General features: G+C 48.3%; 4 annotated features.

Annotated features, from left to right (window-relative positions):
* Window positions 6,141-6,347: a silencer, noted in NCBI's record as "fragment chr18:43735851-43736057 (GRCh37/hg19 assembly coordinates)". NCBI's record gives its function as "represses an EF-1alpha promoter that drives an FKBP-Casp9 reporter gene in an ReSE screen in K562 erythroleukemia cells {active_cell/tissue: K562}" and the evidence as "EXISTENCE:reporter gene assay evidence [ECO:0000049][PMID:32094911]".
* Window positions 14,911-15,412: an enhancer, noted in NCBI's record as "H3K4me1 hESC enhancer chr18:43744621-43745122 (GRCh37/hg19 assembly coordinates)". NCBI's record gives its function as "activates a minimal SCP1, AML or CMV promoter by ChIP-STARR-seq in primed H9 embryonic stem cells {active_cell/tissue: H9 hESC(primed)}" and the evidence as "EXISTENCE:reporter gene assay evidence [ECO:0000049][PMID:30033119]".
* Window positions 15,413-15,912: an enhancer, noted in NCBI's record as "H3K4me1 hESC enhancer chr18:43745123-43745622 (GRCh37/hg19 assembly coordinates)". NCBI's record gives its function as "activates a minimal SCP1, AML or CMV promoter by ChIP-STARR-seq in primed H9 embryonic stem cells {active_cell/tissue: H9 hESC(primed)}" and the evidence as "EXISTENCE:reporter gene assay evidence [ECO:0000049][PMID:30033119]".
* Window positions 17,563-18,424: an enhancer, noted in NCBI's record as "H3K27ac-H3K4me1 hESC enhancer chr18:43747273-43748134 (GRCh37/hg19 assembly coordinates)". NCBI's record gives its function as "activates a minimal SCP1, AML or CMV promoter by ChIP-STARR-seq in naive H9 embryonic stem cells {active_cell/tissue: H9 hESC(naive)}" and the evidence as "EXISTENCE:reporter gene assay evidence [ECO:0000049][PMID:30033119]".

Below are 23,069 nucleotides of genomic sequence, written 5' to 3' on the forward strand. Positions count from 1 at the left end.
CTCCTGAGTAGCTGGGATTATAGGTTATTGCCACCATGCCCGGCTACTTTTTGTATTTTTTGCAGAAATGGGGTTTCGTCATGTTCCCCAGGCTGGTCTCAAATTCCTGGGCTCAAGCGATCCACCCTCCTTGACCTCTCACAGCACCCGGCCCTAAATGAGCATTTATTGAGCAATATCTATTCAACAACAAGTTCTGTACTTGGGCTAGAGAGAAATAGACTTGCTCTGGTGCAAAGAGAAGACTCACTTACACAACATAATGAGAAAGCAAATGAAAGACAATCCTGAGCCAAGCAGTGTCTAGCCAGGATGCCCCTTCCCTCCATTCCCAGGGAAGCACACTGAGAGGCACCCAGGATGCCAGTTGTTTAGACACAGCATGCAGCCTTCAGGGAGTGTTGCCGGCTTGGGAATGCTGCCAGAAGCCCCCAGCCCTTCTCCTTCCTCTACCTAGCCTGGTGTGTGGGATCTATTTCCAGTCTTTGGTGTTTGTGTTTGTTTTGTGTTTTTTACTTATTTATGTATTTATTTTGCTTATCAGAAGTGTTTTATCAAAGGCCTACATTTCCTCCCCAGTCTGAGGCTTGAGCAGCTTTGTCAAAATTAAGCAAGAGAGATTTTCAGGCTCTACCCAGCCTCCTCCCACCTCCACATCAATGAATGCAGAGCCTTATTCTGACTTGAATGAGAATAAGTGAAGGGAAGGATATATAGGAAGGAAAATGGTTTAAAAATCGCAAAAATGGCCGGGCTCGGTGGCTCACACCTGTAATCCCAGCACTTTGGGAGGCCAAGGCAGGCAGATCACGAGGTCAAGAGTTCAAGACCAGCCTGACTAATATGGTGAAACCCCGTCTCTACTAAAAATACAAAAATTAGCTGAGCGTGGTGCAAGCCTGTAGTCCCAGCTACTCAGGAGGCTGAGGCAAGAGAATCGCTTGAACCCTTGAGGCAGAGGTTGCAGTGAGCCAAGATTGTGCCATTGCACTCCAGCCTGGGTTACAGAGCAAGACTCCATCTCAAAAATAAAATAAAATAAAAAATCTCAAAAACCTGCTTCTCCCACAGGGCTGTGAGAATGCACATCCTTAGCCCAAATCTGGCATATGGTCAGAACTCAATGAGTGTCAATTATGGGCTCACAATCCCTTACTGGAATTTCCAAAGCCCCCAAAGCTCTAAAACCCAAAGGTTTTTCATAATTCATTTGACAAAACCTGATCTGACCTGAATTCATTTGGCAGCAGAACCTCACCTGAACCCCCATTTTGGTCTACTGCAGAACTCTAAGGCGTGTGACTCCTGGGTGTTCCTCCAGGCGCTGCTTGGGGGTATTATGTTTATGGTATAAGCACCTGATTACCTATCTGAAATCTGGAACATTCTGAATTCTGAAATGTAACTGGCCCCAGGGACCTGTTTCTATAAGAAACCTAGGTTCTAGATGTTGTTTCTGCTGTTACCTAGCTGTGTGACATTAGATGTGGTAGACAGACCCTAGAATGGCCCTAAAATTTCCCATCTGCTACTTTTCATGTTATTTATTTATTTATTTATTTTTGAGGTGGAGCCTAGCCATGTCGCCCAGGCTGGAGTGCAGTGGTGTGATTTCAGCTCACTGCCACCTCCACCTCCCGAGTTCAAGCAATTCTCCTGCCTCAGCCTCCCGAGTAGCTGGGATTACAGGTGTGCACCACCACGCCCAGCTAATTTTTGTATTTTTAGTAGAGACAGGGTTTCACTGTGTTGACCAGGCTGGTCTCGAACTCCTGACCTCGTGATCCACCCACCTCGGCCTCCCAAAGTGCTGGAATTACAAGCGTGAGCCACCACACCTGGCCTATTTATTTATTTTTCAAGACAGAGTCTTGCTCTGTCGCCCAGGCTGGAGTGCAGTGGTGCAATCTCAGCTCACTGCAACCTCCACCTCCCAGGTTCAAGCAATCCTCCTGCCTCAGTCTCCCAAGTAGCTGGGATATAATCCCCTCCCTTGGAATGTGGGTGGGACACATTCAAATTTTGTGTGACTTGATTCTCACAAACAGAATATGGCAAAGGTAAAGAAATTTTGAAGATGTAATTAGGGTCTCAAATCTGTTGATTTCATTTCATCAAAAGGGAGATCATCTGGGTGAGCCTGACTCAATCAGTTAAAAGCCTTAAAAGGCTTTTAAGGACTGGCCCCTCCCTGAGGTTAGAGACTCTCTCTCAGTTATTGGCTTTGAAGAAACTGACCTGCTATGAGAAGACCTATGGAAAGAGCCACTTGGCAAGGAAGAGGGGGCAGCATTTAGTTGCGAGAACATTCGGCTGACCACCAGCAAGAAAATGGGTACTTCGGTCCTACAGCTGCAAGAAGATGGATTCTGCCAACAGCCTGAGGGAGCCTGGAAGCAGGTCTTTCCCTGCTTGAGCCTCTGATGAGACTCCAGCCCCAGCTGACACCTTGATTTCAGCCTGGGGAAACCATGGAGCAGAGGAGGCAGCTAAGCTGAGCTCAGGTTCCTGACCCATAGAAATGACGCTAAGTATGTGCTATTTTAATCTGCTATATGACAATCATTTTTAGATGATTTGTGGGCAACACAGAAAGCCAGTACATTAGGGAAGTCTCTTAACCTCCCTGGGTCCCAGTTGTGCATCTGTAAATTAGGGAAATGGTTGAACCGGGTCACACCTAGGAGCCTCTCAGGCTCTAGCTTTTGGAGACTCTGTATGGGCAGATGCTGAGTGCTGCACCGTTGTGAGAAGGAAGAATCGTTCTCTAATGGGTGAGCAGGCTAGTGCTCTCATGTGGGGGGCTGTGGGTGCCAAGGAGGTGTGTCGTTGAGGTGGCTGCTGCAAAATGCAGACAGCTGAGGACTCACCCTGAGTCCTTGATGACCCATCTGCCAGCAGGCTAGACGCTGACCACAACTGGCACCACGCCTGGCTGCAGAGGCGATCAGCTTTCAAGAGCAGGAAAAACAAATGTCCTCTTTCCCCTGCTCTGTAAGGGACGTGCAACCATGCTGGGCATCCATCCCCACCTCTGTTAATTTACTGGGGGGCAAAGGGTCCACTCTGCAATCTTCCTCCCATGATACCTAAAACTCTTGGGCTTGTGACCTCTAGGACTGCCCTGGGGAGCTCCTGGGAAGCTGAGTCAGGGAGGGCATCAGGTTTCCTGCTAGCTCTTGGCACACTTCTGAAGTAGGTGAGCTTGTGCTTCTGTGCTGTCCCACCCAGCCGGTCTGCCAGGTCTCTCTGCTTCCCACACCCGCTGCCGCCTGCCCCAGGGGCCCGGACCACCAACACACCCCAGAGGTGGGGCACCCACTGTCTGCCTTCCCTCCCCCAATACTCCCTCACACACAGCTGACACGCTCATCTGACTGGCTAAAGGGATTGTCCCTTATTAAATTCCTTGGGGGATGATCTCATTAAGCCTTGTTATGGGTCACTTCTATTTCAGGGAGAATAAATTTGCTGCAATCTATGGGCAGCTAGTTAATTGAAACCTGAGGAAGGGGCTGGGGGAGGGGAGGGCACGGGTGAGGGGGTGGAGCGAGCCTGAAAGTGTGGGAAGTGCCTGGCCTGGTGAGAGCTGAGAGCTGGCTGGGAGGAGGCTGAAGGTGCACATGAGGGTAGCCGATAAGGAGGAGGCCACAGGCAGTGGAGGGAGAGGGGAGACAAAAGCAGGTGTCAGCTGCAGCCTGATGCAGGGAGATAGCCTCCTAACTGCCTCCCAGGCCTCTGTGCTCAGCCCTGCCCCAACATATGAGTCCAGGCCAGCACAAAGTGATAAGCACCTAGGCCAGGATGTAGCAACAGAGATGGAAAAGAAGGAGATATGAGAGAACTTGGAAACAAATTTGATACAGGGATGAAGGAGAGGAGAGGAAAAAACCCAAGATGACCTTTAAAGATGCTTGGAGAATGGGGAGAGGCGCCAGCCGGAGCACAAGCCCAACACAGGCCTCTGAGCAATGCCAAGTTTACTGCTCTGCTGTTTAAAGAATCCTTCTTCACCCATTTCCGAAAAAATGTTTCCTATCTCCGGTTTTCTGGCTCTTCAGCCATTCATCTATTCATGCAAGCATTCATTCGGTTCGTCAGAATGGAGACCTTACGTAGCACTCTATCAGCCCCTCTGCTGAATACCGGCAATGCAAATATAGACAAATAGATTTTATAGGCTAAGCGTCGTGAGTCCACCCAGAGCAGTTAGCCACTCCCAGGAGCTCTTTTCCTTCCATTCCCTCTTTTCCAACAGTTGTGTTGATTTTCAGGATAGCTGCTGCAGAGAAGAGAATTCAAAGATGGAGGAAGGTTTTGTGTTGGGGATCTAAAGCCAAAGGAACTTGTGACTTTTGGTCATGCTGAGAGACAGGTGACCACTAATTGTGTAGCCCTTGGCTGGTCTCTGTCTTTTTGAGACTGAGTTTCGCTCTTGTTGCCCAGGCTGGAGTGCAGTGGCACGATCTCGGCTTACTGCAACCTCTGCCTCCCAGTTTCAAGCAATTCTCCTGCCTCAGCCTCCCAAGTAGCTGGGACTACCGGCATCCATCACCATGTTGGCCAGGCTGGTCTCGAGTTCCTGACCTCAGGTGATCCACCTTGCCTGGTCTCTTAATGCTCTTAGCCTGAATTTTATCATCTGTAAAAGGAGAAATAGGCTTAGATGATTTTAGAAAACTCTTCTACTTTGTATCTATGTTCTTGTTTTATGGATGTGAAAGTACTCTGAAAAGTTTGATTTCTACGCAGATGTGAGGTAGTTCTTTATTTCAGAAAGCAATAACAATGCGAGTGCCCACAGGGTGGATATGGGTTGTGAAATGGAAACTCCATCCCCTACTTCTTGCTTCCCTGTGGAGGGGTCTCTATTGGAGCCACATTCCTGGAGTCTCTCTGGCCTGACTCTCCCGGCAAGAAGAATGGTTCCCATCCGGTAATATTTTCTCCACCCAATATTTTACCTGAAATGTCACCAGGAAATATTAATCCCCATGGATCTCATGTCAGCTGCCCTCCTTTATATTTCAAGACCATGGTGGGAGGTAGAGCATGAAACCAGATCACCTTCTGGTGTGAAGATTTCAAGGGAGAAGTTGAGGTGGGAAGCCTCACCAGGTATTCTCTTTAGGACTTGCCTGAGAGTAGATTCTGGGCTGCTCAGACAGGGCAGCGCTCCTGTGACTGGTTGAATAGTCTGTCTACATTTGCTGTGACAGGAATGGGATAGGAAGTTCATGGAGGCTGCTCATTTGCACCGTGTCCCCCAATCCAGCTTTGATCTGCCATAAAGTTGACATTTAAGTGTTCGCCTGTTTCCTGCATCTTATTTTTTAGTTGCTTCCAAACTTGAGGAGAGAAAGAGAAAGGGTTATTTATTACACAGGCCCCAACCCTAGCAAGAGAAAAAAAAAAAATCACAGTCCACGTTATAAGTCTTCCTTGGGATTTTGTTCTTTTTTTCTTTTTTCGAGACAGGGTCTCACTCCGTCATCCACACTGGAGTGCAGCTATATGATCTGGGCTCACTGCAGCCTCCACCTCCCAGATTCAAGCGATTCTCCCACTTCAGCCTCCCGAGTATCTGGGATTACAGGTGCCCGCCACCATGCCCAGCTAATTTTTAGTATTTTTAGTACGGATGGGGTTTTGCAATGTTGGCCAGGTTGGTCTCGAACTCCTGACCTCAAGTGATCCACCTGCCTTGGCCTCCCAAAGTGCTGGGATTACAGGAGTGTGCCACCACACCCGGCTAATTTTTGTATTTTTAGTGGAGACAGGGTTTCACCATGTTGGCCAGGCTTGTCTCAAAGGAGATTTTTTTCTTTTTTCTAAATTCCTCCCTTACCCTTGCCTTCTCCACATCCAAATGAGTATCAGCCTCTGGGCACTCATTCCCAAAATGACCTAGTCCTTTCATTCCACTGTGACATCTTTCCAGAATGCTTTTCCTCTTCTCTATGAGGCAAAATTCTTGTCATTCTTAGAGTCATGGCTCAGAGTTCTCCCCCTCAGTGAGTCAATCCTTCTCAAGGAGCTCAGGCTGAGTTTGCAGCTTCCTTGTCTCAGTTTCTAGGACTCTATTCTATTATGCTATCACTAGTCCTAATGGGAGGCGACCTCATGCCCGTCTTACCCAATAGAGCAGACTAGGTTGAGTGCTGTACCTGGAAGTTCCTCTGGCCACATCTATGTCTTCTTAGAACTATTGTGTCTGGGGTTTCCTGGGTGGGGAAGGCAAATGAAACCTCAGCAATGACTGGTATGAATTCTCCTGCCAGGTGGGGGCCTTAAAGTAGAAATCAAATTGATTTCTAGGAAATGAAGAAAGTGATGTTTCTTGCATACTTGAGTTGGAGGGCTAGAGTATTATTCACTGCAAATAAATTCTGACCTTGTTTTTTCATGAAATGTTGCTCTCCTTCTCACTCTTCCACCCTAGAAATTTTGTCAAGGCTTGAATCAGTCCAGAATTTACTCTATTGTTCCCTTACCTGTTGCTTGGAATGTGACCGTTTGGGGAGTGTGTTTTGTTTTGTTTTGTTCTGAGACAGAGTCTTGCTCTGTTGCCCAGGCTGCAGTGCAGTTGTGCGATCTTGGCTCACTGCAACTCTGCTTCCTGGGTTCAAGCGATTTCCTGCTAATTTTGTTTTTTTTTATTTTTAGTAGAAAAAGCATTTCACCATATTGGCTAGGCTGGTCTTGGACTCCTGACCTCAAGTAAACTGGCTGGCCTTGGCCTCCCAAAGTGCTAGGATTACAGGCATGAGCCACCACACCTGGCCTGGGGAGTGTTTTACCATTCCTGAGACTAGATGGTGACAGGTTCTTACAACAGCCTGAGCAAAGCCTGACACAGAGGGGGAACCCCTTCAGTGGATGGGTCCTTCCTGCCACAGACTAAATGTAAATAAAGTCCTTCTGCTGTGTCTTCAGTGAGGATGGAGAACAGAGGGCTGCTCAAGGTCAAGTTGTATACTTGGAGGCTGGAGAAGAAGCCCCACACAGAGAAAGCCCAGGTGAGCTGAGCAGGACAGGAAGGATCCTCCGAGACCTGCAGATCATGCCACCAACCAGCACCAGGCCTACATCCAAGGAGCGCAGGGTATCCAGGAAGAACATCAGGCCGTACTCTCTCTCAGGCTAGACCAGTCACTTCTATTCCAAAGAAGACTTCTCAGGGCTGGAAGCATCCCCTCCCCTCTGTAGTCCCTCTCTTGTGCTTGCTGCCCTCCTTGACCTTGGTTCCCTTGGTTTCCAGTGAGCCAAGTGGAGGTGTACTCTCCCACCTCGTCATGTGCAGCCTGCCTGGGAACACAGTGTCTCCAAGGCTGACTGAGGAGAACAGAACTTGAGGAGAAAAACAGCAGCACAGAGAAGGAAAAACAGAGTGGGGCCTGGGGAGAAAGGAGAGCTCTCAGCTGGGGTTTCCCACAGAAGCAGAGTCTCAGACAAGAGCTTGCACACAGGTCATTAATTTTGGGAATTACCCCAGAACAGGAGTGAGGAACTGGAGAGAGTGACCCAAGGAAGGAGGGAGAGCCATTCCAATGTGTGCTGCCTTATCAAGCTCATCTCCAGGGAGGCCGCCTGGGCGTGGTCCACCTGTTTGCCCCTAAAGAGAACCAAAGAACGAGCTTCAAAATTGTTCGTCTGAGGGAAATAATAGAGGATGTTTATCCACCAGTTCTGGCCCCCTCGGGTCAAGGTTGCCCCATAGGATGTTAACTCCTTCTGTCTTCTAGGTTTGTCCACATGCAATCCAGAGTGTCCCAGGAGGGAAACCCCGGGGCAGGTGATACCTACAGGCAACTGCAACAATGACTGGAGGGTAAATGTGGACCAAGGTGTGAGCTGGGGCACCATACAAAAGAGAAGGGTGAGGAAGAAGCTGCAGCACAAAATGGAGATTAGAGGGAAAAACGAGGTTAGTGGAGCCATCATCATCTGCTTGCCCGATGCACACAGCAAGTCAATATGCCGAGACACCGGGTTGAAGCAGAGAAAGAGGTTTAACTGTAGTGTCACTGAATGAGGAGATGGGAGAAAACCTCATCTCCATCTCTCCAAGGAATTTGGGGTTAGGGTTCTTAAGGGTTTTGGAGTGGGCAGAAGTGCGGAGATCATTGATTGGTGGAAGACTGCAGGCTGAAGTCCTGGGACAGGGAGAGGAATAAGCTGTATTCTCACGGGGATCCCGTTCCTCTGTGGGGATCTTCAGACTGGGTGCTGGAATTGGGGGGTCTGAAAAAACCTTTTAGGTCGGGTGCAGTGGCTCACGCCTGTAATCCCAGCACTTTGGGAGGCCGAGGCGGGCGGATCACTTGAGGTCAGGAGTTCGAAACCAGCTTGGCCATCATGATGAAAACCTGTTTCTACTAAAAATACAAAAAATTAGCTCGGTGTGGTGGTGCTTGCCTGTAACGCCAGCTACTCAGGAGGCTGAGGCAGGAGAATCGCTTGAACCCAGGAGGCGGAGGTTGCAGTGAGCTGAGATCAGGTGGCGCCACTGCACTCTAGCCAGGAACCATGGGGATGCAAATCAATTATTAGTCTTATGACCCTAATGTCAGAGATCCTACCTGTAGGCAAAAAGGCAATGCAAATGGTCAGGAACTAGTGACTTTTAGCAACAAGAAAGTGGGCAGAGTGCAGCCTGATTAGTGTTTAATTACAACTATATTTCTGTCCAGAACCCAGCATACAATTCTTGTCAGCCTTCTGGGGGCAGTCTCAGGAGGACAACTGAGGAGAAGACAAAGCAACCATAAACAGTCCTTGTTTCAGGGAGAGACGTGAGCAGGGCAGAGGCAGCCCTTCAGCAGCCGGGGCCTCTGCCGAACTCCTAGAACTGGCTAGGGTGAGAATAAGCCCTGAAATGTACAGAGTTCTTGCTGCTACAAGACTCTGGCAGGCCCACTGGCAGGAATGAGTGGCCCTGGCAGTAACTGTACATTCCCACCCCCTTGTAGCCTGGGGCAATCTCTTTTGGGCCTCCCATGATGATAAGCTGTCTCCTGAGCATTCCTGACTCTTCCAGTTCAACAATACCAATTTAGAGTTTCTAGCTGAGAACACACCTCTCCCAAAGGGCAGGCTGAAGGAACAGGATTATAAAAGGGTCATGACCTGCTAGAATGGAAACAAGTTTCCTACAGTTCTTGTGGCAGTGGCCCCCCAAGTTAGGGTTAAGGTTGCTCCCCGCCATCAATATAGCCCCCAGGATTGGATGGATTTGAGGAGATGGATTCTAGGAGCTTCTGAAATTAAGTGGAAATCTTTGGAAAAGTAAGAAAAGGGTTCCAGGGGAACCTTTTCAGTACCCTTTGTAAAGGCCTGGAACATTCCATACTTGTATTCTATCTACACTTTAGACCCAGTCTTATCCCACAATAGTGTGGGACTCTTTCCACACTATGAGTCCATTGTGGGCTCATTTCCACAATGATCTTTTCCCTTTGTGAATTAATATAGCTCTAATAATATCAATGCACAGATTTAGCTTTAGCTCTCAATGGTCCTCTTTTTTAAAATTTAATTTTTTTATGTTTATGTTTTAGAGAAGATGTCTTGCTCTGTCATCCAGAACTAGAGTGCAGTGGAGCAATCATAGCTCACTGCAGCCTCGAACTCCTGGTCTCAAGTGATCCTCCTGCCTCAGCCTCCAGAGTAGCTAATAGGTATGGACCACTGCACCCAGCTCAATTGTCTTCTTATTGTTCTTTTCCTTTAAGTTATTCTTGTCTTTTTGTATTATAAATTCTAGAGTTAAATTAGCAGGGCATGGTGGTGCATGTCTATAGTCCCAGCTCCTCAGGAGGCTGAGGCAGGAGAATCACTTGTACCCAGGAGGCGGAAGTTGCAGTGAGCTGAGATTGCATCACTGCATTCCAGCCTGGGTGACATAGTAAGACTCAAAAATTTTTTTTAAATTAAAAAATAATAATAATAATAAATAAATTCTGGAGCTTTGTGTTTTCCTGGTTCCTGGTACACCAGGACTAGAAAATAGTTGGATTTGTGAATCAGTAAGAATCCACGAGTGTGTGTGTGTGTTAGACTGGCTTTCTTAGGCCACCAGAATGTTATAATTTGAGGATTCTATAAAACCTGGCTTGGGGGCCAGGTACGGTGGCTGACACCTGTAATCCCAGCACTTTGGGAGGCCGAGGCGGGTGGGTCATCTGAGGTCAGGAGTTTGAGACCAGCCTGACCAATATGGTGAAATCCCGTCTTTACTAAAATTACAAAAGTTAGTCGGGCATGATGGTGTGTGCCTGTAGTCCCAGCTACTAGGGAGGCTGAGACAGGAGAATTCCTTGAGCCTGGGAGGCAGAGGTTGCAGTGAGGAAAAAACAAAACAAAAAACCTGGCTTGGGAAGTCGAGACTGTGGTTAGCTGTGATCGCCACTGCACTCCAGCCTGGGCAACAGAGTGAGACCATCTTAAACAAAAACAAAACAAAACAAAACAAAACAAAAAATGTGACTCAACAAAAAGATCTCCCTCTCCCGAGCTGAGCTGCCTTACTCTTTGAAATTCCTACCCTGTATGCCACTCCTTGACTGCCTCTAGAGAAGTGTTTGTTTTAGACAGACAGAGTATTTTGTCACCTGGGAAGGGCAGTATATTAGCCAGCTACCACTCTAGTAAGAATTAGTTTCTGTAATTAATCGTTGTTAAGACATGGAGTATGGAAGCCTTAGAGATTGAGTCCTAGGCCAGGAAGGTTTGGTTATTGGAAGTGAGGAGGGGCAAAGAGGGCTAAGGTCCTGGGGCCTTGAATGATGAGAGAAGGCACTGGCTGGGTTTAAGAGGTCATGAGCATAGCAGGGAAGGACACACCAAAGACAAACTTTGGGTTCATATATTTGCTTAGGTAAGGCTTCCTGTAGTGAAGGCAACTCATTCAGGAAACTGCTGTTTGTTTCTTTTTTCTTTTTTTGAAACAGGGTCTTACTGTGTTACCTAGGCTTAGCACAATGGTGAGATCATGGCTCACTGCAGCCCCAACATTCCAGGCCCAAGTGATCCTCACACCTCAGTCTCCAGAATAGTTGGGACTACAGGCACACACCATCATGCCCAGCTAATTTTTTTTGTAGAGATGACAGTGTCTCCCTATGTTGCCCAGACTGGTCTTGAACTCCTGGGCTCAAGCAATCCTTCCACCTCAGCCTCCCAAAGTGCTAGGATTACAGGTGTGAGCCACCTTGCTTGGCCTCTGATCATTTCACTAACAGGTCTTGTTACCGGAAAGGGGTCTCAATCCAAACCCAAAGAGAGGGTTCTTGGATCTTGCGCAAGAAAGAACTCCAGGTGAATCCATACAGTAAAATGAAAGCACGTTTATTAAGAAAGTAAAGGAACAGACCGGGTGTGGTGGCTCACACCTGTAATCTCAGCACTGTGGGAGGCTGAGGTGGGTGGATCACCTGAGGTTAGGAGTTTGAGACCAGCCTGGCCAACATGGCGAAACCTGTCTCTACTAAAAATACAAAATATTAGCCAGGTGTGATGGTGGGCACCTCTAGTCCTAGCTACTCGGGAGGCTGAGGCAGGAGAATCACTTGAACCTGGGAGGTGGAGGTTGTAGTGAGCCAAGATTGCACCATTGCACTCCAGCCTGAGCAATAAGAGTGAAGCTTTATCTCAAAAAAAAAAAAAAAAAAAAAAAGGCCGGGTGCAGTGGCTCACACCTGTAATCCCAGCACTCTGGGAGGCCAAGTCAGGCAGATCATGAAGTCAGGAGATGGAGACCATCGTAGCTAACGTGGTGAAACCCCGTCTCTACTAAAAATACAAAAAAATTAGCCAGGCATGGTGGTGGGTACCTGTAGTCCCAGCTACTTGGGAGGCTGAGGCAGGAGAATGGCGTGAACCCGGGAGGTGGAGCTTGCAGTGAGCCGAAATTGTGCCATACAGCCTGGGCAACAGAGCAAGACTCCGTCTCAAAAAAAAAAAAAAAAAAAGGAAAGGAATAAAACAATGGCTACTCTATAGGCAGAGCAGCCCCGAGGGCTGCTGGTTGGCTATTTTATGGTTATTTCTTCATTATATGCTAAACAAGGGATGGATTATTCATGAGTTTTCCTGGAAAAGGATGGGTAATTCTCCTGGAACTGAGGGTTCCTCCCTTTTTAGACCATATAGGGTAACTTCCTGATGTTGCCATGGCATTTGTAAACTGTTGTGGCACTGGTGGGAGTGTCTCTTAGCATGCTAATGTATTATAATTAGCTTATAATGAGCAGTGAGGACAACCAGAGGTTACTTCTGTCACCATCTTGGTTTGGTGGGATTTGGTCAGCTTCTTTACCGCATGCTGTTTTATCAGTAAGATCTTTGTGACCCGTATCTTGTGGCGGCCTCCTATCTCATCCTGTGACTTACAATGCCTAACTTCCTGGGAATGCAGCCAGTAGCTCTCACCCTTATTTTACTCTGCCCTTATTCAAGATGGAGTCGCTCTGGTTCAAACACCTCTGACAGTCTTAGTTGTCTGCAGGCAGAGACTGGCCGTATGCACCTTATATACCCCTCAGTCTGACTCAAAGTGCATGGGTGTGTGCTCTCTTGGGTTAAAGGGATAGGGCCAGATTTGCAGCTCACCCTCCAGCTTTACAGGCATCCTGGACTTGTGGTGGGCCTGGCCTCACTCTGTGAGGCCTCCCTGATATCCCAGGGATGGATTTAGGTAAGCCTCCCTGCAGAGCTGGCCTTCTGCCCTTCTGGTGACTCGAAGAACTAATGAAAGAAACCACCAGCAGAATTAAAAAGCTAGAACAGCTGTACTATGCACTTTAAGGACACATTTCTCCAAAAAGTGAAGTTAGTACAAAGATGCCATTATGTTGAGACTCTTTTTTTTTTACTTTATTTATTTATTTATTTATTTTGAGACGGAGTCTCACTCTGTCGCCCAGGCTGGAGTGCAATGGCATGATCTTGGCTCACTACAAGCTCCGCCTCCCAGGTTCACGCCATTCTCCTGCCTCAGCCTCCTGAGTAGCTGGGATTACAGGCGCCTGCCACCAGGCCCAGCTAATTTTTTGTATTTTTAGTAGAGATAGGGTTTCACTGTGTTGGCCAGGATGGTCTCGATCTCCTGACCTCGTGATCTGCCTGCCTCAGCCTCCCAAAGTGCTGGGATTACAGGTGTGAGCCACCGCGCCCAGATGGGACTCTTTAAAATACGATAGTGATCTCTGAGGTTGCTTCTAGGCTGGTGCTTACTGGTGGTTACCAGTAAATTATAGCTATCATGAATTGTGGAGCTTTTGAAAGCTGCCCAGAGACCTGTGGTCCTGGTGGTTTGTCGCCTGGCTGGTGGGGGCCCTCCTAGCCTGCTGTCCCCTACCTCCAACCAGATTCTGTAAATCTCTTATTTGTCTTTCTCCTAGGGAGTCCCATTCTATTTCCCCATGGCCTGGTGCCTTTGCACCGGACTCCTCAAGAGAAGACTCACATGAGATACTCTGCTTCATTTAATTTTAGGTTATTGTTGCTGCTGTCAGTCTATTGAAGTACTTTAATGAATGCTTGTATTGTTCTCCTGCCCGGAGTTTTTTCAGATGATCAGCACATTATAAAACACAATAATGAGTCTAATTCCCCACCCCCAATACACAGACACGATGGCACTGCTAAGTCCCCCAGATATGTACAGTAGTGAAAAGAGTTTGGGATTTGGAGGAGCAAAATGAGGTTTAGTCCCTATTCTCCCATTTAGTGCTTGTGGCCTTGGGCAAGTCATTCATTCATTCATTCATTCACTCATTCAATAGGCATTTATTTGAAATCTTTTGGTGTCAGTTGTATAATCTCTGCAAAATGGTAGCAATACCCACCTAACCTAACTACCTTTCATGGCTGTTTAGAGGAGCTAATGAAATCCTCCTTATAAGAGGGTTCAAGTTAAGCTCTATATAAATGTACATTCTTGGCATGAATAAGCAAAAACACAAAAACAAAATTGGAGGGGAGGGGATAAGGGCCCAACACATGACCCTTATGTATCATTTGTATGAGAGACACACCTGTTTTGGAGTCTGGCTGTGCCCTGCACTTTCCTGATACCAGCCTTCCCTTATGCCAGACTTTGCCCAGGATACCTTTCTCTTCATCTCTATCCGTGGAAGCTTTGCTCTTTCTCCAAGGCCCTAGTCAAAAGCTTCCTCTTCCAAGAAGTCCTTGGTGCTCTTGGGAATTAATTTCTCCATGCGACATGTCCCTATTCTGCATCGACCCCCTCTGCTATTGTGATGTGTTTCTAGGTTGAGCCCTGTTCTTAGACAGACAGCAGTAATCTTGAGGGAGGTGACCATGTTCTCTTCCAGGAATCCTGACTCCCTCCCTGACCTTTAGCCCATGTGACTTGCTTAGGTGAATTGTCTTCTCTGAGCCTAAGTTTCCTCCTCTGTAAAACCTACCTGTCCTGCTCATTGTCATGAGGATTATATGACAAGAGCCTAACAATGTGCCTTGTGGTTAGTGGGCAGGCTTCCAACGAATACCTTTAGAATAAAATCGAACAACACGCATCATTTGGCTCTCTTAATACCCACCTAGAGAAGACGGCCACGTAATCATGTGTGCATACAAGGAATGTTGGGATGGTCCCCACCTGGTAATATTTTCCCCACCCACTACTTTACCTGAAATGTCACCAGGAAAGATGAATTCCCATGGATTCCACCTCAGAGGCACTCCTTTATAATTCAAGACCCCTGGGAGAGGCAGAGCATGAAACCAACTCACCTTCTGGTGTCTGGGGGAATGGCCGCTTTGACTGCCACCTAAATAAAAGGTAGAGAGGGTCACACAGAAGGAAGGCAAGGAATCCTCATAAGAGATTTGCCCTATGACTGGTCTTGCTTAATATAACATATCCAGTTCAAACCACATATAACATATTTGTTTAAAGTCAGGCCAGCCACAGTGGCTCATGCCTATAATCCCAGCTCTTTGGGAGGCCAAGTCAGGAGTGAGAGACAGGACTAGCTGGATTTCCTAGGCTGACTAAGAATCCCTAAGCCTAGCTGGGGAGGTGACCGCTTCCACCTTTAGACACGGGGCTTGCAACTTAGCTCACACCCGACCAATCAGATAGTAAAGAGAGCTCACTAAAATGCTAATTAGGTAAAAACAGGAGGTAAAGAAATAGCCAATCATCTATTGCCTGAGAGCACAGTTGGAGGGATAATGATCGGGATATAAACCCAGGCATTCCAGTTGGCAACTGCTACCCTCTTTGGGTGCCCTCCCTTGTATGGAAGCTCTGTTTTCACTCTTAAATCTTGCAACTGCACTCTCTTCTGGTCCATGTTTGTTACGGCTGGAGCTGAGCTTTGGCTCGCCGTCCACCACTGCTGTTTGCCGCTGCTGCAGACCCGCCGCTGACTTCCATCCCTTGGATCCGGCAGGGTGTCCTCTGTGCTCCTGATCCAGCGAGGCGCCCATTGCCACTCCCAATCAGGCTGGAGGCTTGCCATTGTTCCTGCACAGCTAAGTGCCCGGGTTTGTCCTAATCGAGCTGAACGCTAGTCACTGGGTTCCATGGTTCTCTTCCATGACCTACGGCTTCTAATAGAGCTATAACACTGCATGGCCCAAGATTCCATTCCTTGGAATCCGTGAGGCCAAGAACCCCAGGTCAGAGAACAAAAGGCTTGCCGCCATCTTGGAAGCAGCCCACTGTCATCTTGGGAGCTCTGGGAGCAAGGACCCCCCCCCGCCCCCGCCATAACAGGAGGATCACTTGAGGCCAGGAGCTCCAGACCAGCCTGGACAACATAGTGAGACCCTGTCTCTACAAAAAAAAAAAAAAAAATTTAGCTGGCCATGGTGGTATGTGCCCCTAGTCCCAGCTACTTAGGAGGCTAAGGTGGGAGGATTGCTTGAGCCCAGGAATCCAAAGTTACAGTGAGCTATGATCATGCCATTGTACTCCAGCCTGGGTAACATAGAGAAACCTTGTCTCTAAAAACAATATAAAAATAAAAATAAATAGGCCAGGCACGGTGGCTCACGCCTGTAATCCTAGCACTTTGGGAGGCCGAGGCAGGTGGATCACCTGAGGTCGGGAGCTCAAGACCAGCCTGACCAACATGGAGAACCCCATCTCTAATAAAAATACAAAAAATTAGCCGGGCATTGTGGTGCATGCCTGTAATCCCAGCTACTCAGGAGGCTGAGGCAGGAGAATCGCTTGAACCCGGGAGGCAGAGGTTGCGGTGAGCTGAGATTGCATCATTGCACTCCAGCCTGGGCAACAAGGGCGAAACTCTGTCTCAAAAATAAAAATAAAAATAAAAAAAGTAGAATGAAGTCAAAGTTTTAGAATCCTGTATTTTTTTTTTCTGGTACCAGTTTTCTAATTCTCTGACAGCAAGTGAGTATCCAAGCAATTCAGTTCAATTTAACGCAATTCTGACACTAACCACCCAGAGTTATTTCGAACCCCACAGGCTAAGGGCCCAGTACCACAAGGCTGCTCCCACTTCAGATGCTAGCCACAAGTGAGGTGCCTGGGCTCCCATACTTACGTCTAGCAGATTGTGAATTTGGGGGTTCCCATGACCTCTCCCCCCTTAAATTCGATAATTCACTAGCAGGGCTCACAACTCTGGAAAGTGCTTTCCTTACTAATACCAGCTTATTATAAAGGATTCAATTCAGGAACCTAAATGGGAGGTCCCGAGTTGGATCCTTTATAATATCCTTCCTTGCCTTAGGCAAGGAAGAAAGGCAGATGGTAGCTTTGAGCTTCCATGCCCTCTCCAGTGGGCCATCCTCCCAGCACCAACTGGAAACTCTCTGACACGTGGTTTTGGGGATTTTACTGAAGTTTCCTTGGCCTTTGGTGATTGAACTCAATCTCCAACCCCTCTTCCATCCTGGGAGGTTGTGGGTGGGGAGGGGGCTGAATGTTCCAACCCTCTCTCTAATCATATGGTTGGTTCCTGTGGTGACCAGCCCTCATCCAGAAGCTATATAGGGACTCTCCAAGAGCCAGACTCAGGTGTGGCTGAAAGGAGCTCGTCCTGAATAACAAAGGACATTCCTACTACTCAGGAGATCCTGAGGCTCTTAAGAGCTTTGTGCTAGGAACTGGGGCAAAGACCAAATGCGTATTTTTTATTCTACCACAGATACCCTAATTTTGTCTTTACTTAAATACTGTAGTTTTGGGAGCTGGGGAGAGGAAGGTGAAGACAGTCTCTATAAAGCTGATGTTACAAGGGCTTTGAAGCTTTTACCAAGCCCTTTCTTCCAAAACAGTGTCTCAGCCAGTCGCGGTGGCTCACGCCTGTTACCCCAACACTTTGGGAGGACAAGGAAGGCGATCACTTGAAGTCAGGAGTTTAAGACCAGCCTGGCCAACATGGTGAAACCCTGTCTCTACTAAAAATACAAAAATTAGCTAGACGTGGTGGTGGGCGCCTGTAGTTTCAGCTACTTGGGAGGCTTAAGGGAGGAGAATAACTTGAACCCGGGAGGCAGAGGTTGCAGGGAGCTGAGATCATGCCACTGCACTACTCTAGCCTAGGTGACCGAGCGAAACTCTGTCTCAAAATAAAATAAAATTAAATACAATTAAAAATAAAAATAAAAAATAAATCCCAGGCTTCTTACGCTCTCATTCAATCCCCCAACTTCCCTTGAAGCCTTCTCTCTACTCACTCCTCTGCTGTCCAGCTGCAGGCATCTGGCCCTTGGGTAGTTGTCCTCCAAATATCCCAGGGGCTTTTCTTTTCTTTTTGAGACGGAATCTCGCTCTGTCGCCCAGGCTGGAGTGCAATGGCGCCATCTCGGCGCACTGCACGTTCTGCCTCCCAGGTTCACGCCATTCTCCTGCCTCAGCCTCCTGAGTAGCTGGGACTACAGGCACCTGCCACCACACCCGGCTAATTTTTTTGTATTTTTAGTAGAGACAGGGTTTCACCGTGTTAGCCAGGATGGTCTCGATCTCCGGACCTCGTGATCTGCCCGCCTCGGCCTCCCAAAGTGCTGGGATTACAGGCATGAGCCACCGCGACCAGCATCCCAGGGGATTTTCTACCTCTTACCCACCCCTCCCACAAAGTCACTTCTCTCCACACTTGTCCTTTCAAACACACAAACTCTTTTTGGCTGTCACATCTGCCAGGCTCTATGCTGGACACCAAGGGGGCAGTGAAGAAGGATGACCTGGCTCTGCCCTCAAGGCACTGAGTCTTCCTCCTTTTTAACCACCTGCAGGCAGGTTTCAGACACTCCCTGAGGCATTCCCCTACTGCCTTGTCTGCAGGGGTCCCTCCTTCCTCCTGGCTTCTAACCCACTTGGCACCTGGCACCACTTCCTTGTTTTGACATCCTTGTAGGTTTCGGAATCTTAGGTCTACTTCCTCCATTCACTACACTTGCACTGAGTGTGTCTGGGGTCTCTCCGTGAGGCACTGAGCACGATCAGACAGCATGGACCCCGCCCCCTGGCCGCTCGTCCCTCTGGTGTGTCCAATGAAAGCGAAAGAGAGCATGCAAAGCAGGAACACATGAGGGCACGTGTTAACAAGAAGACGGGTGCAGTAATGGGGAGTGTGGGTGCTAGTTTAAATGGGGTGTCAGAGGACCCTCTGCTCCACCCAGGAGGTCCCCCAAGGTCAGGCACTATGTCACACAGGGCAATTCTTTTCATTAAAATATGAGAGGCTTATACATACTTGTTAAATTTAAAAACTGTCCTTTGGGCCAGGCATGGTGGCTCATACCTGTAATCCCAACACTGGGAGGCCGAGGTGGGAAGATGTCTTGAGTCCAGGAGTTCAAGACCAGCCTGGGCAACATAGTGAGACCCTGTCTCTACAAACATTTTTATTTTATTATTATTATTATTATTATTATTATTATTATTATTATTATTTTTAGAGGGAGTATCACTCTTGTTGCCCAGGCTGGAGTACAATGGCTCGATATCTTGGCTCATCACAACCTCCGCCTCCTGAGTTCAAGCGGTTCTCCTGCCTCAGCCTCCCGAGTAGCTGGGATTACAAGGATGCACCACCACACCCGGCTAATTTTGTATTTTTAGTAGAGACGGGGTTTCTCCATGTTGGTCAGGCTGGTCTCGAACTCCCGACCTCAGGTGATCTGCCTGCCTTGGCCTCCCAAAGTGCTGGGATTACAGGCATGACCCACCGCGCCCGGCTACAAAATTTTTTAAAAAATTAGCTGGGGATAGTGGCATGTGCTTGTAGTCCCAGTTACTTGGGAGGCTCAAGTGGGAGGATTGCTTGAGTCCAGGAAGTTGAGGCTGCAGTGAGCTGTGATTGTGCCATTGCATTCCAGCCTGGGAGATAGAGTGAGACCCGGTCTCAAAAAACAACAACAACAACAACAACAAAAAACAACCAACCAAACAAAAAATGAAACTGTCCTTTGCATTTATTTTCACTTTTTTTCCCCCATTTTCAGAACTTACAGACTTTCTAAATAGATGGAGTTTCAGGGGAATCACCTGGTTAGAAAGAGAGACTTGGAGCTGAGTTTCAGAGTACTTTACCCAAGACAGACCAGTCTTAATTGGCCAGCCCAGAGAACCAGGGTGGGGAGCTAGAGGTTTGTGGGGGAAAGGGGGCCCCCTCCCAGTCACCCTTGGCTACACTTTCATGGTATCCTTCTGCACTGTTCCATTCTGGTTCCACGTGAACCTGCTGCTCTGGAAAAATGAGTCTGTTGAGATGGAAATTTCACTGTATTTGACCACTGAGAGTCTGTGGCCTAGAAGGTGCTGGCCTGGAGTGCTGCCATCAGAGCGGCAGCCTCTTTCTAGAGCATTCTGTCTGAGCCGAGCATGGAGCTGAGAGCTGAAATCATGAGTCATTCTACCCTCACTCCTCCAGAGCCTGCAAGGGAGTACTGGGGGGTCATCCATGTCTGGCAGGCGAGGACAATGGGGCTCAGTGAGGTTACATAACTGCCTGAGGGTCACTCTGCTAGAGAGGTGGAACTCAGTCCAATGTCACATCTGTCAAACCCCAGAGCCCCTGGTCCTGACAACTGTCTGATCTTCCACTACTCAGAGTCCTTAGAATGCTTCTGGATGTCCTTGTGTTGGAGGAGGCCATTTAATCCTATGGAATGACGCTGTGAGGCAGAGCGAGTCATGTTAACCCTGGAAGCGGTGACTTGTCTGAGGTTCTGTGGCTACTATTGTGCAGAAGGTCAGCATTTCCCCAGAGGCCACTGCCTTCTAGCAGGTCCTGGGCGATCCTAGTGGGTGCTGGCTATGGTGGGGGTGGGTGGTTACGTTGAGGGAGGCCAGGTTGCCCCTTCTTCTTTTTGAGTCGGAGTCTCGCTGGAGTGCAGTGGCACAATTTCAGCTCACTGCAACCTCCGCCTCCCAGGTTCAAGCGATTCTCCTGCTTCAGCCTCCCGAGTAGCTGGGACTACAGGAGTGCACCACAACACCCGGCTAATTTTTTTTTTGAGACAGAGTCTCGCTCTGACGCCCAGGCTGGAGTTCAGTGGCGTGATCTGGGCTCACTGCAAGCTCCGCCTCCTGGGTTCAAGTGATTCTTCTGCCTCAGCCTCCTGAGTAGCTGGGACTACAGGTGCCTGCCACCATGCCTGGATAATTTGTTTTTGTATTTTTAGTAGAGACGGGGTTTCACCACGTTGGCCAGGCTGGTCTCAAACTCCTGACCTCATGACCCGCCCGCCTCGGCTTCCCAAAGTGCTGGGATTACAGGCATGAGCCACAGTGCCCAGCCTTTTCTTTTTTTTTTTTTTTTTTTTTGAGACAGAGTCTCGCTCTGCCACCCAGGCTAGAGTGCAGTGGCACAGTCTTGGCTCACTGCAACCTCCATCTCCAGGGTTCAAGTGATTCTCCTGTCTCAGCTTCCGGAGTAGCTGGGATTACAGGTGTGCACCACCACACCTGGCTAATTTTTTGTATTTTTAGTAGAGACGGGGTTTCACCATGTTGGCCAGGTTGGTCTTTTTTTTTTTTTTTTTTTTTTTTTTTTTTTGAGACGGAGTCTCGCTCTGTCGCCCAGGCCGGACTGCGGACTGCAGTGGCGCAATCTCGGCTCACTGCAAGCTCTGCCTCCCGGGTTCACGCCATTCTCCTGCCTCAGCCTCCCGAGTAGCTGGGACTACAGGCGCCCGCCACCGTGCCCGGCTAATTTTTTGTATTTTTAGTAGAGACGGGGTTTCACCTTGTTAGCCAGGATGGTCTCGATCTCCTGACCTCATGATCCACCCGCCTCGGCCTCCCAAAGTGCTGGGATTACAGGCGTGAGCCACCGCGCCCGGCCCAGGTTGGTCTTGAATTCCTGACCTCAGGTGATCTGCCCGCCTCAACCTCCCAAAGTGCTGGGATTATAGGCGTGAGCCACCGTGCCCGGCCTGTATTTTTTTTTTTTAGTAGAGATGGAGTTTCACCATGTTGGCCAGGCTGGTCTTGAACTCCCGACCTCAGGTGATCCGCCCACCTTGGCCTCCCAGTGTGCTAGGATTACAGGCGTGAGCCACCACGCCTGGCCTTAGGTTGCCCAATTCTTAGCAATCTGAGATGGAAGGGAGGGGGCAGCCCAGAGCCCAGAAATGAGGGTTCCCTCCCCTCGTCTCCCCCTACTTTCATCATCTCTAGAGTGGTTCTCATAATTGTGTCCATTTTACAGGGCAAATGGTAGAAGTAACCTGCTCAGTCAGGAGAGATCAGGTTACAGTCAAAGCCAGACCAGCCACGCCCTGATGCTACTGTCCAGGCCACCACAGCTGGCAGGTACCTGCTGCAGGCTTAGCCCCAGGCTAGGCGGTATATCAGGTGCAAAAAATGATGGTGAAGAGTGATTCTGACAGGCTTGGCTCTGGCCTCTAGGGCTATGACAGAAGTTGAGAGGATGACGAATATGGTTTAGTAGTAACCCTACAGATAGACCAAGGGCAGACATGTTTGTAGGAGAGTGTGTGTGAGCAGGGGAGTCCTGACCCACAGTGGAAGGCCAGGATGGAGGGGGTAATAAGGGTAGTGGTGACGGGGGTTGTGTCTGGGCTGAGCTGGTTTTATGGGAGAGATGGCATTTCAGGAGCTTGTAGAGCTAAGTATTGGATACACAGAAGACTTTGAGGCAGAAGTAGGATCCCTTCTGCTCCTACAGAAGAAGGGGAAGAAGCAAGTAACTGTACCATTTAATAATGGAAATATAGTAGTAATAAAAATATTAGTAATTAGGATATCAAATGCCCTAGCCTCCAAAAATATACAAAGGCCATTCGACGTAGGAAATTGACTTATTGGTATTAAACAGGAGAAGGGGCTGGGTGCGCTGGCTTACACCTGTAATCCCAGCACTTTGGGAGGCTGAGGTGGGTGGATAACCTGAGGTCAGGAGTTTGAGACTAGCCTGGCCAACATGGTGAAACCCCGTCTCTACTAAAAAACCAAAAAATTAGCTGGGTGTGGTGGCGTGCACCTGTAATCCCAGCTACTCGGGAGGCTGAGGCAGGAGAATCGCTTGAACTCGGGGGGCAGAGATTGCAGTGAGTCAAGATCGCGCCACTGAACTCCAGCCTGGGCGACAGAGCAAGACTCTGTCTCAAGAAAAAAACCAAAAAACCAAAACCAACCAACCAAACAAAAAACAAAGAAACAACAACCACAAAGCAAAAAACAAAAAACAAAAAACAGGAGAAGGACCCAAGATGGTATCTCAGTAGTCAGGGTCCTACTTCAGTATTTCTGCAGCATTGATTAGATCAGACTGTCAAGGAATCTTTTAAAAACTCAATGTATTAGTCCACATTCATTCATTTCCAGACTGAAAGTTGTGATCTTAGTGTGATTTTTCCTTTTCTTTTCTTTTTTTCCTGAAATAGGCTGGGCTCTTGTCACTACCCCATAACCTCTCAAATCCCTTGAGGACTCAGGTAGCAGAAAGTAAATAAATGAATGAACGAGTGAAATAACATACACGGATAAACTACTTAGCTAGCACACACTACGTTCTCTGTGATTCTCAGTGAGGCAGTTGGTGGCTGTGGTTAAGAAAGTAAGCTCTGCCTGTGTTGGAATCCAACACTGC

The sequence above is a fragment of the Homo sapiens genome, chromosome 18 (assembly GCF_000001405.40).
Source record: "Homo sapiens chromosome 18, GRCh38.p14 Primary Assembly".
Lineage (NCBI taxonomy): Eukaryota > Metazoa > Chordata > Mammalia > Primates > Hominidae > Homo > Homo sapiens.